Raw genomic sequence first — 14,963 nt, 5'->3', positions numbered from 1 at the left:
ATGCTTCACAGATGTTTCAGCGGTAAGAGTTTAGTTGTTGCTCTTAATTGGAAGCAATCTTGGAAGGGTGGGGAAATAGGGACTCAATATAGAAAGAGGCATGACAGCAGAGCACGAGTGAGAAGAGAACTGGGACATGGCTTTTAGAAAAGATTTCCAGGGCTCCTGTTAAAACCAAAAGGCAAGGAAAGTCTAAGGAGCTCATCAGGCTGTTCCTGGGATCTGGGGCAGAAAGACAGTGGAATAATTGCCTTTTCTCTGCATTTAACACCCCAGTGCTGTATTAGAGAAGCTGAGAAACTGAGGCTGCAAAAGGTGAGCCCCACATGGGGTGCAGTTCTAGTTTTGTTTGTTTGTTTGTTTGTTTTGTTTTTTGAGACAGAGTTTCACTCTTGTTCCCCAAGCTGGAGCGCAATGGTACGATCTTGGCTCACCACAACCTCTGCCTCCCAGGTTCAAGCGATTCTCCTGCCTCAGCCTCCTGAGTAGCTGGGATTACAGGCATGCACCACCATGCCTGGCTAATTTTGTATTTTTAGTAGAGACAGGGTTTCTCCACGTTGGTCAGGTTGGTCTCGAACCTCCGACCTCAGGTGATTTGCCCACCTCGGCCTCCCAAAGTGTTAGGATTACAGGCGTGAGCCACCACGCCTGGCGAGTTCTAGTTTTTAAGATAAGCCTCCAGGTTGCAAACTTGTCAGTTGGAATTTGGAATCCAATGCCATTGCCAACTTATTTTTTTCAAAGCCAACTTAAGACCAATGAAAGAATTGGTTCAAGATGTTATGCGTTGCTTCATGAAGAGTCTTAGGCTTTAATTGAAGATCACAGTCGGCCACAGGTGCCAGGCTGTGGAGTCAGAGGCTTCATTCAGAGCAGGGCTCCATGTTTAATCTGATTCATAGATTACCGCCTTATATCTTTTTTTTTTTTTGGAGACAGAGTTTCACTCTTATTGCCCAGGCTGGAGTGCAATGGTGCAATCCTGGCTCACCACAACCTCCACCTCCTGGGTTCTAGTGATTCTCCTGCCTCAGCCTCCCGAGTAGCTGGGATTACAGGCGTGTGCCACCACGCCTGGCTAATTTTTTGCATTTTTAGTAGAGACAGGGTTTCTCCATGTTGGTCAGGCTGGTCTCAATCTCCCAACCTCAGGTGATCCACCCACCTCGGCCTCCCAAAGTGCTGGGATTACAGGCGTGAGCCACCACGCCCCGCTACTGCCTTATATCTTATGGCATAGAACAGTTGCAGTATATATCCTGATATAGGCATATATACATGCAGGTTTTTATATTACAAGGATTCTCAACTATTTAGTAAGATGTAACATACATAAGGCCCAAACTCAGTAATGAGCTTCTGCGGAGTTATAAATCAGCCACATCCTGATGGATTCTCTGAGATTGATCTGGCTGTTCACCCATTTATTCATGGATTCACTGGTCATTATTTAGTGCCTCCTACACCCATATGATAGCCAGTGGGGTAAGAGTGGGGAAATCTAGTGACAAGTAAAATATAGCTCCCTTCCTCACCTCTGAAGTCTCAGTCTAGTGAGAGCAACCAACAGTGGGATTGAGGTGATGCCCGGTGCTTAGTAAATTCTTGCTAAATGAGAGAATGAATGAAGAAACACATGAATGTGTGCTCCCAGGGTGCTCCCAGGTAAGGCCCTAATCCAGCTTCGAGTTTGGAAGGTGGTGTGTCCAAGAAAACATCTTAGAAGTGTGGTACCTGTATTGTTTTGGTCACCCTCTCATTCAAGAAATAGGAATAGGCCTTCTCCCACATGCCAAGTGGTGTGCTGGGTGGTGAGGGCACAGTGGTATGTAGGGCAGACATGCCCTTGCCCTTATGGAGTTAACGTGTTGGCGGTAATGCTTTGTAGGAATGCAGGGAACACTGAAAATATCGAGGGGCAGTGCCCAGCCTTGTCCCCAGAGTCAGCGAAGATGTCTCTGTGAAGTGGTGTTTACACTGAAATGTGAAGGGTGAGTAGAAAGTACAGAGGGAATGGGGAAGGTGTGAGCCAGTGATGCAAGGGAGGGAGGCCTGAGTTACAATTTACAAGGATCCCCCTGGCTGCTGCCAAGAGAGGGAGTTGGCATTAGAGGCGATGGCTATTTTAAGACTGGCTAGGAGGCTGTGGCAGTGAGCATCGTGCCTTAATTCTCATTTCTGAAAAGAAAGAGTTTCGTTCCTATAGCTTTCCTGGACCCTGACTCCTAACTGTGCTGACTCTGGTCATGTTCATGTATCTTCTAAGTAAACATCCTGCCCCCATCAGCAGGTGCCAAATAGAATCTGTTTATAGTCAACACCACACATGGTTTCCAGAACCAGGCAAATGCCTTTAGACAACTCTGGGCTTAGACAGTCACTAAATGCTGTTGTCTCTCCCTCTAAAAGAGCTCTTGAATCTCCCACTCCTGCTTTTGCCCAGGGCCCTGCCTTCTGGCCCTCATTATCTCTTCATAATCACCAACTCAACAGGGGCTGAACTTTCTTCCTAACACACAAGTTTATCCTCATGTATCACCATTGCCAGCGGTATAAAGAAACCTCAGTGGTTGTATCAGTCAGCTTTCTCTGTATAACAAACAGCCCCAAACCCCAGTGCCTACAAACAGACATTTATGATTTCTGTGGGTTGATGATCTGGTCTGCACAGTTTGTGTTAGGCTGATTGCCTGTGCTGGCCCATCCACACATCTGGGGGCTGAGCTGGGGTGCCTCAGCCTCTCTCCACACATTGTCTATTATCCTCCAGGGGGCTACCTCAGGCTTGCTAATGTGGCAGCAGAATGATTTCCAGCAGCAGCTGGGCATGGTGGCTCATGCCCAGGAGCTCAAGACCAGCCATGGCAACATAGCAAGACCCTACAAAAAATAAAAATAATTAGCCTGGTGTGATAGCACGAACCTGTAGTTCCAGCTACTCAGGAGGCTTAGAGGGAGGATCGCTTGACCCTGGAGGTCAAGGCTGCAGTGAGTGGTAGTCATGCCACGGCCCCTCCAGCCTGGAAAACTGAGTGAGACCCATCTCAAAAAAAAAAAGAATGATTCTCAGCAGCAAGAGAGAGGAACTTTTAGGTATAAGCACTTTTAAAGCCTTTATTTATGTCACCTTTGCTATGGTGCCATTGGCTAAAGCAAGTCTCGTGGCCAAACTTCGATTCTCCCTCATGCTGGGAGGGGAGGCAAAGCCACACTGCAGAGTGTGCGTGCAGGTGGCCTGAACAAATTGGGGCCATTTCGACAGCAGTGGTTAAGAGTTGAGGGTTTCTGTGCTATTCTTCCTGTCAGATGAAGTCTTTTTTTTTTTTTTTCCTGAGATGGAGTCTCGCTGTCGCCCAGGCTGGAGGGCAGTGGTGTGATCTCAGCTCACTGCAACCTCGTCTCTCAGGTTCAAGCAATTCTCCTGCCTCAGACTCCTGAGTCTCTGGGACTATAGGCATGCGCCATGTGCCACCACACCTGGCTAACTTTTGTGTTTTTAGTAGAGATGAGATTTCACCATGTTGGCCAGGCTGGTTTTGAACTCCTGACCTCAAGTGATCCGCCCACCTTGGCCTCCCAAAGTGCTGGGATTACAGGCATGAGCCACCGCACCCTGCCAGATGAAGTCTTCAGAAACCCTTTCCTATCTGGCCTCAGCCTGATTTATCCTAACCCCGATGTCACACTTTCACATTCATATCTTACATATTTATTTTTCCTTTCCCCATGTTTTGTGTTTTTACTAAACAGCACCTCATTAGTGCTTTGTTTAGGGAGCAGCTAAAAATATCATCTCCTGTTCAAATTCTTCTTCTAGATGGAGTTGGTCATTTGTCCTTTTTTTTTTTTTTTTTTTGACGGAGTCTCTCTCTGTCCCTGGCTGGAGTGCAGTGGCACGATCTGGGCTCACTGTAACCTTCACCTCCCAGGTTCAAGCAATTCTCCTGCCTCAGCCTCCCAAGTAGCTGAGACTACAGGTGTGCGCCACCATGCCCAGCTAATTTCTGTATTTTTAGTACAGATGGGGTTTCACCACGTTGGTCAGGCTGGTGATGAACTCCTGACCTCAAGCGATCTGCCTGCCTTGGTCTCCCAAAGTGCTGGGATTACAGGCGCCCAAGCCGCCTGTATTACATTGTCCTGAATTGTTTGTGTATTTTTCTGTTTTCTCCCAGTCTGAACTCCCTGCGGAGAGGAGTTGTGAGTTACTCACCTTCCTGTTCTGGTGTGTGGCTCTGTGCCGGGAACAGAATAGGTGTTTGTTTAACAGATAGTGCTGTATAAATAATTGGGTGAGTGAGTGGAATAAGTGGGTGAATATCTTTTCATTATCTTGAGTCATCCTAAAAAGGCAGAGGATGGACTAATTGTCAAAACTGACTTAAACTTTTCTCCTCTTCTCTTTCAGTTGGTACCATTTTCAGATTTCATCTTCCTAAACTGGAAATGTCAATGAGAGGAAATTAACACCCCCAAGAGCTGCAGTGAGCAAATGCATTGAGCTTGGGTCAGGACAATTCCATTTGGGGACCAGAGATGGACGGTCACTCAGCCTATGGAGGTAAAGTGACTAATCTGTCCGCAGCACAAGTGAGATGTGCTGTCTTTTCTGTTTTGTTTTGTTTTCCATTGATTATGTTCCATGGAGGATGTGGAAGATATTCTCCTATTTCTTGGTCTCTGAAACATGTCCTGCTTGCCCAGAAACGTGCCATTAAGAGGAGTTCCCATGGAAGGGGAATACAGTGTCCCTCAGGAGAAATATGCAGACTGTTAGTGTCTAGCAGCTTTTCTTTTTCTTAAATGGAGAGCTTTCTGAGCTCTCATGAACACTGGTAAGTAAAAACCTGGATTCAGAACATCTTTTGATGACAAGGGCCTGTCATCCTGACGAAGGCCTGGCATGACACTCTGGTGTGTCCTAGAGCAAGCATCAGCAAACTGTGGCCTACAGGACAAGCCTGGCCCAGTCTGCCTTTGTAAATAAAGCTTTGCTGGCGCCCCACCATGCTCATTTGTTCAGGTGTCATGTATGGCTGTTTTCACACTGCAGCAGCCCAGTTGAGTCATTACCATAGAGACCGTGTGGCTGCAAAGCCTGACATATTTGTTCCCTGGTCCTTAACAGAAAAGGTGTTGCAACCTCTGGTCTACAGCTGAGCTGTCCACACAGAACCACTTCTTATGGGGATAATGAAATTTTAATTAAAATGAAATAATACGAAAAATTCAGGCCTCAGTCACATCACAGTTCATGTGCTTAGTAGCCACATGTTGCTTATGGGTACCCATGGATAGTGCAGAGAGAGGACATTTTTATCAGCGCAGAGTTAGCTTGGGAAAAATTGAGATCACCCTGGATATGTCACTTCACTCTGCTGGTCTCTAACCCAGCTTGGGCATGATTGCCATCACTGCAGAAGAAGAAGGAAGGCTGATGTCTGTGAGTGTGTATAGCTGTTTTTTATATGATTATTGGCAAGGACTCTCTCTCTGTCGTGCACACTGTCTCACTCTCTCCCTCTAGTATAAGAATGGAGTAACTTTTAAAATTTCTTTGGGAGCCATCTTGTGGTCTCTGTATGTGACTCCATGTAAAACAAATCCACTTGGGCCATGGGGTTTATTAGTTTTATTTATGCAAGTAGATATGGATGTGAGCTTGAGCCCTTCTGGTGTCACAGGTAGGTCAGGGGCCGTGTGAGGCCTCCTCTAAAGGGGAAGAAGCAATCGCTTCTGTGTTCCCAAGGGGTAGATATATGGGCAAGAGCGATAAGAAACAAGGAGAGGAAGAAAATGAGCTGAAGATGTGGCATGTGTGAGTCTTAGAAGAATGAGGAAGAATGGAGACAAAAGACCATGTGATTCCTGGTTATGGTCATAGGTTTACTTTGAAAGAACATGTTGAACAAAGTAATGATGCTTGGGAACATACCACATCTCAGAATTGTGCTGAACACAGCCAGTTCTATACGATAGACAGGTTGGGAAGAGCCTTGGACCTGGAGCTAGCTCACCATCTTATGGGACAAGACTGGGGGCATGGCAGGAGGTTCTGCTTGGTGCATAAGCCAGTGCAAGTGGGAATAACAAGGGCTGATCATTGAGATGCACAGTTTGTATGGAAGGGACCCAAGAAGGAACAGAGAAGAGACTCTAGATGGCCTACAGGTCTGGGCAAAGGCCCCAGGTTTGGCATTTAGAAGTTGGGCTTTCTTATCGTTGGGTTACCCAAGCACAAGCAAGAACAAAGCAGAGACTCCACTGATGAGAAAAGATCCAATTGATATGTATTCTGCACATCTAGATTTGAAAATGGCCTCCTGCCTCTTTCTTTTGGTTGGTCTTCAAGCACCTCACCATTACAGAGGAGTGCTGTATGCATTTTAAGCAGGCATTTCTATAACAAACCTTCAAACAATGGAGTTTAACGCAGATATGAAGTAATTATAAGTAACACAAATAGTAGTATTAAATTTTTAGTTCTTTCTTACAATCAAGCATATCCAGAATGATGATGATGATGATGATGATGATGATGTTAACAGTGATAATATTTTTTGTCCATTCCCAGCTTATTATGTGCCAGGTGCATGTTCTACTGATAATTATTATTACTACTAATAATTATTATAGCTTTAAATTATTGGCACATACAATGCACTAAGTAATATATTGATTTTTTTCTCAATCTCATGAAACCAGAGCATTCGTTTCCATTTTTAATTTTTTTCAATTATTTTATTTTTATATAAATGCAAATTTATAGAAAAGTTATAAGAACAGCCAACAAATTCCTGGACCTCCTTCGTCCAGGTTTTCAAATGTTCGCATTTTATTATGTTCATTTTTTCTTTTTTCTCTATATTTTTTCCTGAAATCAGAAACTTGCATCTTAGAACACAACTTTCTAAGTCAGAAACTTAACATTAATTTGACTATTATCTAACCTTCTGATTTCTCATTCAGATTTCATCACTTGCCCCTGCTAAATTCCTTCAAGGCAAAAGAAAAGCCAGTTGGCATGTGTCTTTCTTGGAAAACTTTCTTAATCTTGTATTTCAGCACGTTAACCTTTTTGACAAGTTCAGGCCAGTTATTTGATAGAATGCACTCAATTTTGGCTTTTCTGATGTTTCCTCCTGATTAGGTTGGCAGGACTAGCCCAGAGCTGATGTGTCCTTTTCAGTGCATTGTATCAAGAGGCACTGGTGTGGCTGTCTCCCATTACTGGTGATGTTAGCTTGGAGCTCTCAGTTAAGGTGGTGTCTTCCAGGTGTCTCCACTGCAAAGTTATTGTTTCACCTTTGCAATTAATAAGCATCTCATGGGGAGAACTTCCGGGATTGTGTAGATTTCTGATTAGTCCTCAGTCTATCAGTCATTAGTTTTAGCATCTTTTGATGATTCTTGCCTGAATAGATTTATTATTATCATAGTTGCCAAATGGTGATTTTTTAAATTTTGCTGGTTCTTTTTCATTTATTAGTTGGTTTCCTACTATAAAGAAGAAATTTTCTTCCTCTGTTCATCTTTTTTTTTTTTTTTTTTTTTTGAGATGGAGGAGTTACTTTCACCCAGGCTGGAATGCAGTGGTGCAATCTTGATCTTTGCCCACTGCAACCTCTGTCTCCCAGGTTCAAGCAGTTTTCCTGCCTCAGCCTCCTGAGTATCTGGGATTATGGGCATGTACGACCATGCCCAGCTAATTTTTGTACTTTTAGTAGAGATGGGGTTTCATCATGTTGGCCAGGCTGGTCTCCAGCTCTTGACCTCAAGTGATCTGCCTGCCTTGGCCTCCCAAAGTTCTGGGAATACAGGCGTAAGCCACCATGCCCAGCCCTTCCTTTCTTTATATCAGTGTGGACTCACAGATTTTAACTTTATTCAATAGGTTGCAGTCTTTTGTGATCATTAGTTATTTTGACATTTACGTTGCCCCAAATCTGTCCACTAGGGCCTGGCTCCTGTGTCTCTAACATTTCTCCATCGTCATTTGAGCACTTGCTGCCTTGTTGTCATAGCAAGGTATTCTAGCCTCATCTTCTACTCTCCTCACCTCAGTGGTGGAATCAACATAGGAGCCCTGGTTCCTTTCCATGGAAAATGGTGTTTAGAAACCAAGATCTGGCCACTAGGTGTGCTCACTGTTTCTGGGGTAGCATTGCCTCTAGGCCCTCTGAGCAGACATAACTGGGATGTGTGTGTCTGTGTGTGCGTGGGTGTGTGTGTGTGTGTGTGGTGTATCACACAGATACCCACATTTATATACATACATAATCACATCCACATGTATATCCACACATCATTCAGATCATTTTCAAATTGACCTATCTATCTATTAAAATCACCATAGGTTCATACTAATTATGCTAGGACATTCTGGAAATTCATGTCTATCTGAATGATGCTGAACAGTCATTCTACTCTCACTATCAACGCCGCCACCAACTGCATTTATTAAACCGTGTTCAGGCCCAGTTTCAGACCCTTTCCCTTGCTGTTACTTCTGACATCAACTCGGTGGCCCAAGTACAGATGAGCAAACCAAGACTCTGAAAAGCTAATTAACTTGTGCAGATTATACAGCTGGTAAAGCAGCAAGCTTATAGCAAGCACCTGTTTGTCCCTCGGCTTTTGATCAAAAGGCCTAGGGAGAAACCTCTCTCAGGACAGAAACTAGAGCAGAAGACTGGGGAAGCATTTGTCCCTGCTGACAGCAGTGTCTGGCCGTCACAGTGTAGGCCAGCCAAAACATGTGGACCGTGTATATGGTCTGCATCTCTCAGATGGAGTCCTGTTAGGAGGTGTGTGTAGACGCACGTGGTGGTGTATGAGTTGCATGTGGGAGTGAGAGTTTCTGTGGGGGATGCAGGACTGCTGTCCTGTCCTTGTGAAGACCTTGATCAGGTTGAGGGTGTGATTACAGAACCAGGCGTCTCTGCAGAGGGAGCATTTGTTCTCTTGCAGAGTGCTTTCCTGGGAGAGCTGCTTCAGTGTGGAGGCCTTAACTTAAACACATTTGTGTCTCCAGCTCCCAGCAAACATGCAGAATGTGCACCAGATAAATGTTGGTTTCAGGCAGGCATTGACAAACATTTCTGAGCTTCTTCTGTGCCAGGCACTGCTCTAATCAGACAAAGATCCTAGCTAGGGGTGAGAAAGAGGGAGAGACACACAGTCTCTCTCTCTCTCTCTCTCTCTCTCTCTCTCTATATATATATATATATATATATATGTTTATATATATATGTCTATATATATGTCTATATATATATGTCTATATATATGTCTATATATGTCTATATATATGTCTGCATATATATGTCTATATATATATGTCTATATATATGTCTGCATATATATGTCTATATATATGTCTATATATATGTCTATATATGTCTATATATATATGTCTATATATATGTCTATATATATGTCTATATATATGTCTCTATATATATGTCTCTATATATATGTCTCTATATATATGTCTCTCTATATATATGTCTATATATATATGTCTCTCTATATATATGTCTATATATATATATGTCTCTATATATATATGTCTATATATATATATATGTCTATATATATATATATGTCTATATATATATATGTCTGTATATATATATATGGTGTGGGCAGGGGCAGGGGGTCCCAGGGCAGGGCATAGCATGGGTGTGGTGGTCAAGGAGTGTCTCTTCCAGGAAATGTTTCTAGAACAAAGTCACATGACGGACAGGAAAGAGCAAATAGGGAGGTGAGAAGGAGAGCAGGGGCTGTTGATCAAAGGATACACAGGGACTGATTCAGTCTTCTTCAGGGGGCTGTGGCTGCTGTCATTTCCCCTCAGAGAACCAGGCCTGTTTTCCTTCTGGGCAGTGTCACATGGGTGGACACTCCCCGTTGGAGCTAAAGCATTTCCTCCAACAACAAAAATGTGTTATCAGCTGGCCCAGAGACCGAATGCAGGCCAGGGCACTCTGACTAGATAAGAGGACAACCTGGCAGTCGTTCAATATTCCGATGGGCAGCAGCGAGGAGCTGTTGGAATTTCCGTTGCTGATAACCTTTAAGAGCAGCAGTGGCAGAAACAGGGGTTGTTTGGGGTGGGAGGGGAGAGGAGACTTGGGAGCACTCTGGAGTATCTGAAAGGCTGATGGGGAGAGAAGGATTAGCGGATTAATGTGTAGAGGGTGATTTTGAGGATGGATCCAAGTGGCGTGAGTGAAATGAAGAGCGGGGGAGCTTCTCATTCAGGCTGTTTTTCCTTTCTTCTTGTTCATTCAGTCATTTAGTAAATACTTACTGAGTGCCTTCCAGCTCACTGGCACTTGGCTGAGCACTGGAGGTAAAACAGAATAAGATGAGAGCTATGTCCTCAAGATGTTAATAACTTATTTGTTTCCTTGTTTTATTTACTTATTTATTTTGAGACAGAGTCTCACTCTGGTGCCCAGGCTGGAGTGCAGTTGTGCCATCACAACTCACTGCAGCCTTGACCTTCCAGGCTCAAGCGATCCTCCTGCCTCAGCCTCCTGAGTTGCTGGAATACGAGCGTGCGCCACCATGCCTGGCTAATTTTTATATTTTTTATAGAGATGGTGTTTTGCTGTGCCACTCAGGCTGGTCTGGAACTACTGGGCTCAAGCAATTCCCCAGCCTCAGCCTCCTAAAGCGTTGGGATTTCAGGTATGAGCCACCATAACTGGCCGATGATAATAATTTAATGGGAGAAAAAGATCAATTAATAAATCGGTGGTATGTTTAGGTGCAGTTCTGGTTCTTTGGGTCCTGAAGCTTATACAATTTGGGAGTTTTCTTTAAGGAAAAATAATGCAAAGTTATGACTTTGAAATAAAATGCAAGCCCTAGATAAGTGGGGTGCAGCCCAGGGGCTGGAGCGTCAGCTTCCTGGACGTGCTCTGGTTCTTTGCCCGCTTTGTGAGCTGCAGTGTCAGCGAGAGTGCCTTCTCTTACCTGCTGCCTGCCGGGTGAGCTGGCCACAAGGGGAGTTGGCGGTGGGAATCCTGGTGCTCCATGGTACAGTGAATTTACTTGCCTTCTGGATCCTCTGAGTCCTTGTGCTTGGGCTCAGGGAACAGGGCGAAAGAACTTCGTTCTTCTTGGTTCTGCTGGGATTTTCGAAGGCACTTTCCTTGAAGTTCTGCGGGCTGACCTGTGATCCCACATCAGGGACTGCATTCTCAGGAATCAGCTGAGCTCAGGAGTCCTGGGGCTGGGGGAGTGTTTGTGAGCACTCTCGCAGGGCTGGCTGTGGCCCTTACGCCTTTGTAACAACCCCACACACATAGATTTCACCCCACAGCCTCCCTGGCAGCCAGCTGCTGTCATTTCCCTTTTTTACGGATGATGAAACCCAGGCACAGACTGGTTAAGTAACTTAACAGTCACACAGCTAATAAGTTGGGGGGCTGCGCTGTGAAGGCTTACAGCGTCTCCAGAGCCCAGTCCCCTTGCTGCCTCCCCATCATCCTCACTGCCTACTGCTTTTAAGCAATATGCTGGAAATACCTGCAATGTCAAGATTAGGAGATGAGCTACATCCAGTACAGCCGCAGAATGGAATAATATGCATTTGAGCCACACAAGGAGTTTTTAACCAGCATGGTGGAATGCTCTAATTTTTGGTGTGAAGGTGGGATGTCTAATTACATATGCACAGAGAAAGGAATGCCAAGTGCTAACAGTGCTTGGATTCCCTCAGCCTTTTGCATCCTCTCCTGGGCAGCTGTAACAGACTCACTCACACATGCATTCAATAGGTTTTATTTATTTATTTATTTATTTTTTGAGATGGAGTCTCGCTCTGTCGCCCAGGCTGGAGAGCAATGGTGCAATCTCAGCTCACTGCAACCTCCGCCTTCTGGGTTCAAGTGATTCTCCTGCCTCAGCCTCCCAAGTAGTTGGGATTACAGGCTCCCACCACCACACCTGGCTAATTTTTATATTTGTAGTAGAGATGGGGTTTCGCCATGTTGGCCAGGCCGATCTCGAACTCCTGACCTCAGGTGATCCCCCCACCTTGGCCTCCCAAAGTGATGGGATTACAGACATGAGCCACCATGCCCGGCCATTCAGTAGGTTTTAATTCAATGCCTTTGACATGCTGGGTACTTCGGATACAGCAGCAAAAAACAAAAACATGGTTTCTGCTGTCATGGAACTTAGTCTGGCCTGCTGTTTGCTCCTTCTGCCTATACTTTCTTCCTCCAGCTTTCACTAGAGAGATCTTTCGGAAGCCCTCCATGGTTCCGCAGTGCCCTCAAATGCAGCCCCTCCCTGCCCCTATTGTCTCATGTGTAAAATGGAGCAGAAGACGCACAGACCTTCCAGACCTCAGAGTGTAGCTCTTCTCAGTTGTTGGCTAGAGGCTTTGCAGTCACAACTCTCATCATTACCATCTTCTAGAAAGGTCAGGCACCGGACAGCTGAAACCATGGCAGCCGGCAACAGGAAGTGCCCTCCCTGGGTGCTCAAAGATCCAAGACAGCCGGGCCCTGTGTTTGTAGGAACAAGATTCCAGATGCCTCTGCTGCTTGCCAGCCTCGTGACCTTCATTCATGCAGGGCCTTGTTTTCTTGATTCAGTGGGGCCAATCCCGGCCCCCAGGGGAGATGGATGCTGCAGGGATGTGCAAGCTGTAGAGGGTTCCAGAGAATGGGCCTGGCGTTCTGCAAGCCTGGCACCCCTCCTGGATGCTTTTCTCCAGCCCTTGGAGCTTAGGCAGTGTAGTGTTAGGATGATTATTGGATTTCCTCCACAGTTCCTGGCTCATTCTTTTGTAGCCCTTGTTACAGCCTTTTGTGATAATATTGGGTGTGGCAGGCCTCAGGACACAGGATGTCTCCAACTTTCTCCTGCCTTCCTTCCCCTGCCCTAACACAGGACTCTAATCTTTCCCTGACTTTCTGACTGTGGGTCTTGAGATCCTCCCCAGAGAGGGTCCTACCCTGTACCCTGGGAGAAGGAATGCTGATGTCAGGAAGCTTCCATAAAACCCCAGAAGACTGGGTTGGAAGAGCTTCCAGATAGCTGAGCACTGGAGGTTCCTGGAGGGTAGCATGCCCCTTCCCCCATACCTCCCCCCACGCATCTCTCTATCTGTATCCTTTGCACCAGTAAATATGTTTTCCTGAGTTCTGTGAGCCCTTCCAGCAAATTAATTGAGCCCAGAAAGGGGGTCATGGGAACCCAATTTGAAGCCAGTTGGTCAGAAGTTGCAGAGACCCGGACTTGAGGCTTGTGTTTGGGGTAGGAGTTGGGGGCAGTCTGGGGCACTGATCTCTCAACCTGTGGGAACTGACCCTGTCTCCAGGTAGATGGTGTCAGAATTAAATTGGAGGACACCCAGCTGGTGCATGGTGTGTGGGCACAGAAGTCTTCTGTGTTGACCGTTCGGGTGTGAGAGCAGAGGATAGGCAGGGTTTCAGAGATTTTAGGAAATAGGTGGGAATAACACTTTCTGAGACTTGGTTTCCCCATCTGTAAAAAAGGAAGTAGTAATAGTACCCACTTGGGAGAGTTCTGTGAGGACTCAAATGACACGAGGACTCAAAAAGCTGGGTACGGTGTCTGGCCCATCGTAAAGGCTGAGTAATTGACAGGTGCATTTATCCCTGTGGTTCCTCACTGAGCCCGTGATAAATGGGCCTGTGGCAGGACATGAGTGAGCTGCAGGAACAGGAGCCAGGCCTCCCACCTTGCCGGCTTGGAAGACCGTCTGGCTGCAGCAGAGACATTCTTCCCAGAAAGAAGGGGCTTTCCATGGTGAACCACTGTGGCCAGGCCCAGAGGCCTTTACAATGCCAATGTCCCAAGAAGAGAGGGGCCATCAGAAGGATGGAAATTTTCTATGTGCTTCCAGAAATCAACCTACAGATTGATCCCTTCTCAAAAGACTAATTTTTATTCTAGTCATGCCCAGCTATAAGCATTTGGGCATTTACAGATAATCTTTGTTCCTGAAGGGCATCCGAATATGTCCTTCCTCCTTTTAATGCCCATGACCCTTACTATCCTGGAACAGAGTCCACATTGCAGAAAGGACAAGGCTCACCACGTTCAGGGCCCCATCAAGACCCCCAGCCTCATGTGTGCTCTCCCTGTCCCACCCCACCCCACCTTCTGCTAATCACAGAGTCATCTTCACAGTGTGAACCCTGAATACAGATGACCCGGGTTCAAATCACACTTCTGCTTCTTTTGCCACCTTGGATACAGTATCTTCTCTTGATCTCAGTTTCCTCATCTGCAAAATGGACATAACGGATAACAACAGCACCAAACTCCAGGATTGAATGAGTTAATACAGATGTGGAGATATTTCAGGCTTGGTTCCAGGCCACTGCAATAAAGTGAGGATTGCAGTAGAGCAAGTCATACAAATTATTTTGGTTTCCCAGTGCACACAAAAGTTGTATTTATACTATACTGTACTGTAGTCTATGAAGTGTGCAGTAGCATTATGTCTAAAACAACAATGTACATATCTTAATTAAAAAATACTTTTTTGTATTTTTTAATTAAAGCCATGCTGGCTTATGCTCCTAGCACTTTGGGAGGCTGGGGCGGGCAGATTGCTTGAGGCCAGGAGTTCCAAACCAGCTTGGGCAACATAGCGAGATTCACCCCCTACCAAAAAAAGTGAAAACATTAGCCGGGAATGGTGCATGTGCATCTATAGTCCTAGTCACTTGGGAAACTGAGGCCAGAAGTTCAAGGCTGCAGGGAGCTATGAACAGAACTTGACAGAGCGAGACCTTGTTTCTAAAAAAAAAAATTAAAAAATACTTTCTTGCTAAAAAATGCCAATGGAATGAGCACATACTGTTGGAAAAATGGCACCAATAGACTTGCCCAACACAAGGTTGCCACGATTAGTAAAGACAATAACAACAAAAAAATAATGCAGCACCTGTGAAGTCTGATTA

At 45.4% G+C, this 14,963-nt stretch overlaps 1 protein-coding gene across 6 annotated transcripts in view, besides 1 other annotated feature; it reads left to right on the top strand.

The window, feature by feature from the left end:
• Window positions 1-14,963, top strand: part of ST3GAL1 (ST3 beta-galactoside alpha-2,3-sialyltransferase 1) — a 117,040-nt gene that overhangs the window by 21,550 nt on the left and 80,527 nt on the right. For all 6 annotated transcript variants that reach the window (XM_017013736.3, NM_173344.3, NM_003033.4 and 3 more), the window contains exon 2: window positions 4,412-4,564. The gene's annotated coding sequence lies outside the window, so the exon portion shown is untranslated. The remainder of the gene's footprint in view (window positions 1-4,411; window positions 4,565-14,963) is intronic.
• Window positions 5,440-5,609: an enhancer, noted in NCBI's record as "experimental_101271 CRE fragment used in MPRA reporter constructs". NCBI's record gives its function as "activates a minimal promoter by MPRAs in K562 erythroleukemia cells, with activity observed for both the introgressed and non-introgressed 8:134557057 variant alleles {active_cell/tissue: K562}" and the evidence as "EXISTENCE:reporter gene assay evidence [ECO:0000049][PMID:34662402]".

The sequence above is a fragment of the Homo sapiens genome, chromosome 8 (genome assembly GCF_000001405.40).
Source record: "Homo sapiens chromosome 8, GRCh38.p14 Primary Assembly".
Lineage (NCBI taxonomy): Eukaryota > Metazoa > Chordata > Mammalia > Primates > Hominidae > Homo > Homo sapiens.
Note: the sequence above shows the minus strand (reverse complement) of the source record. Positions and strands in the feature narration are given on the sequence as shown.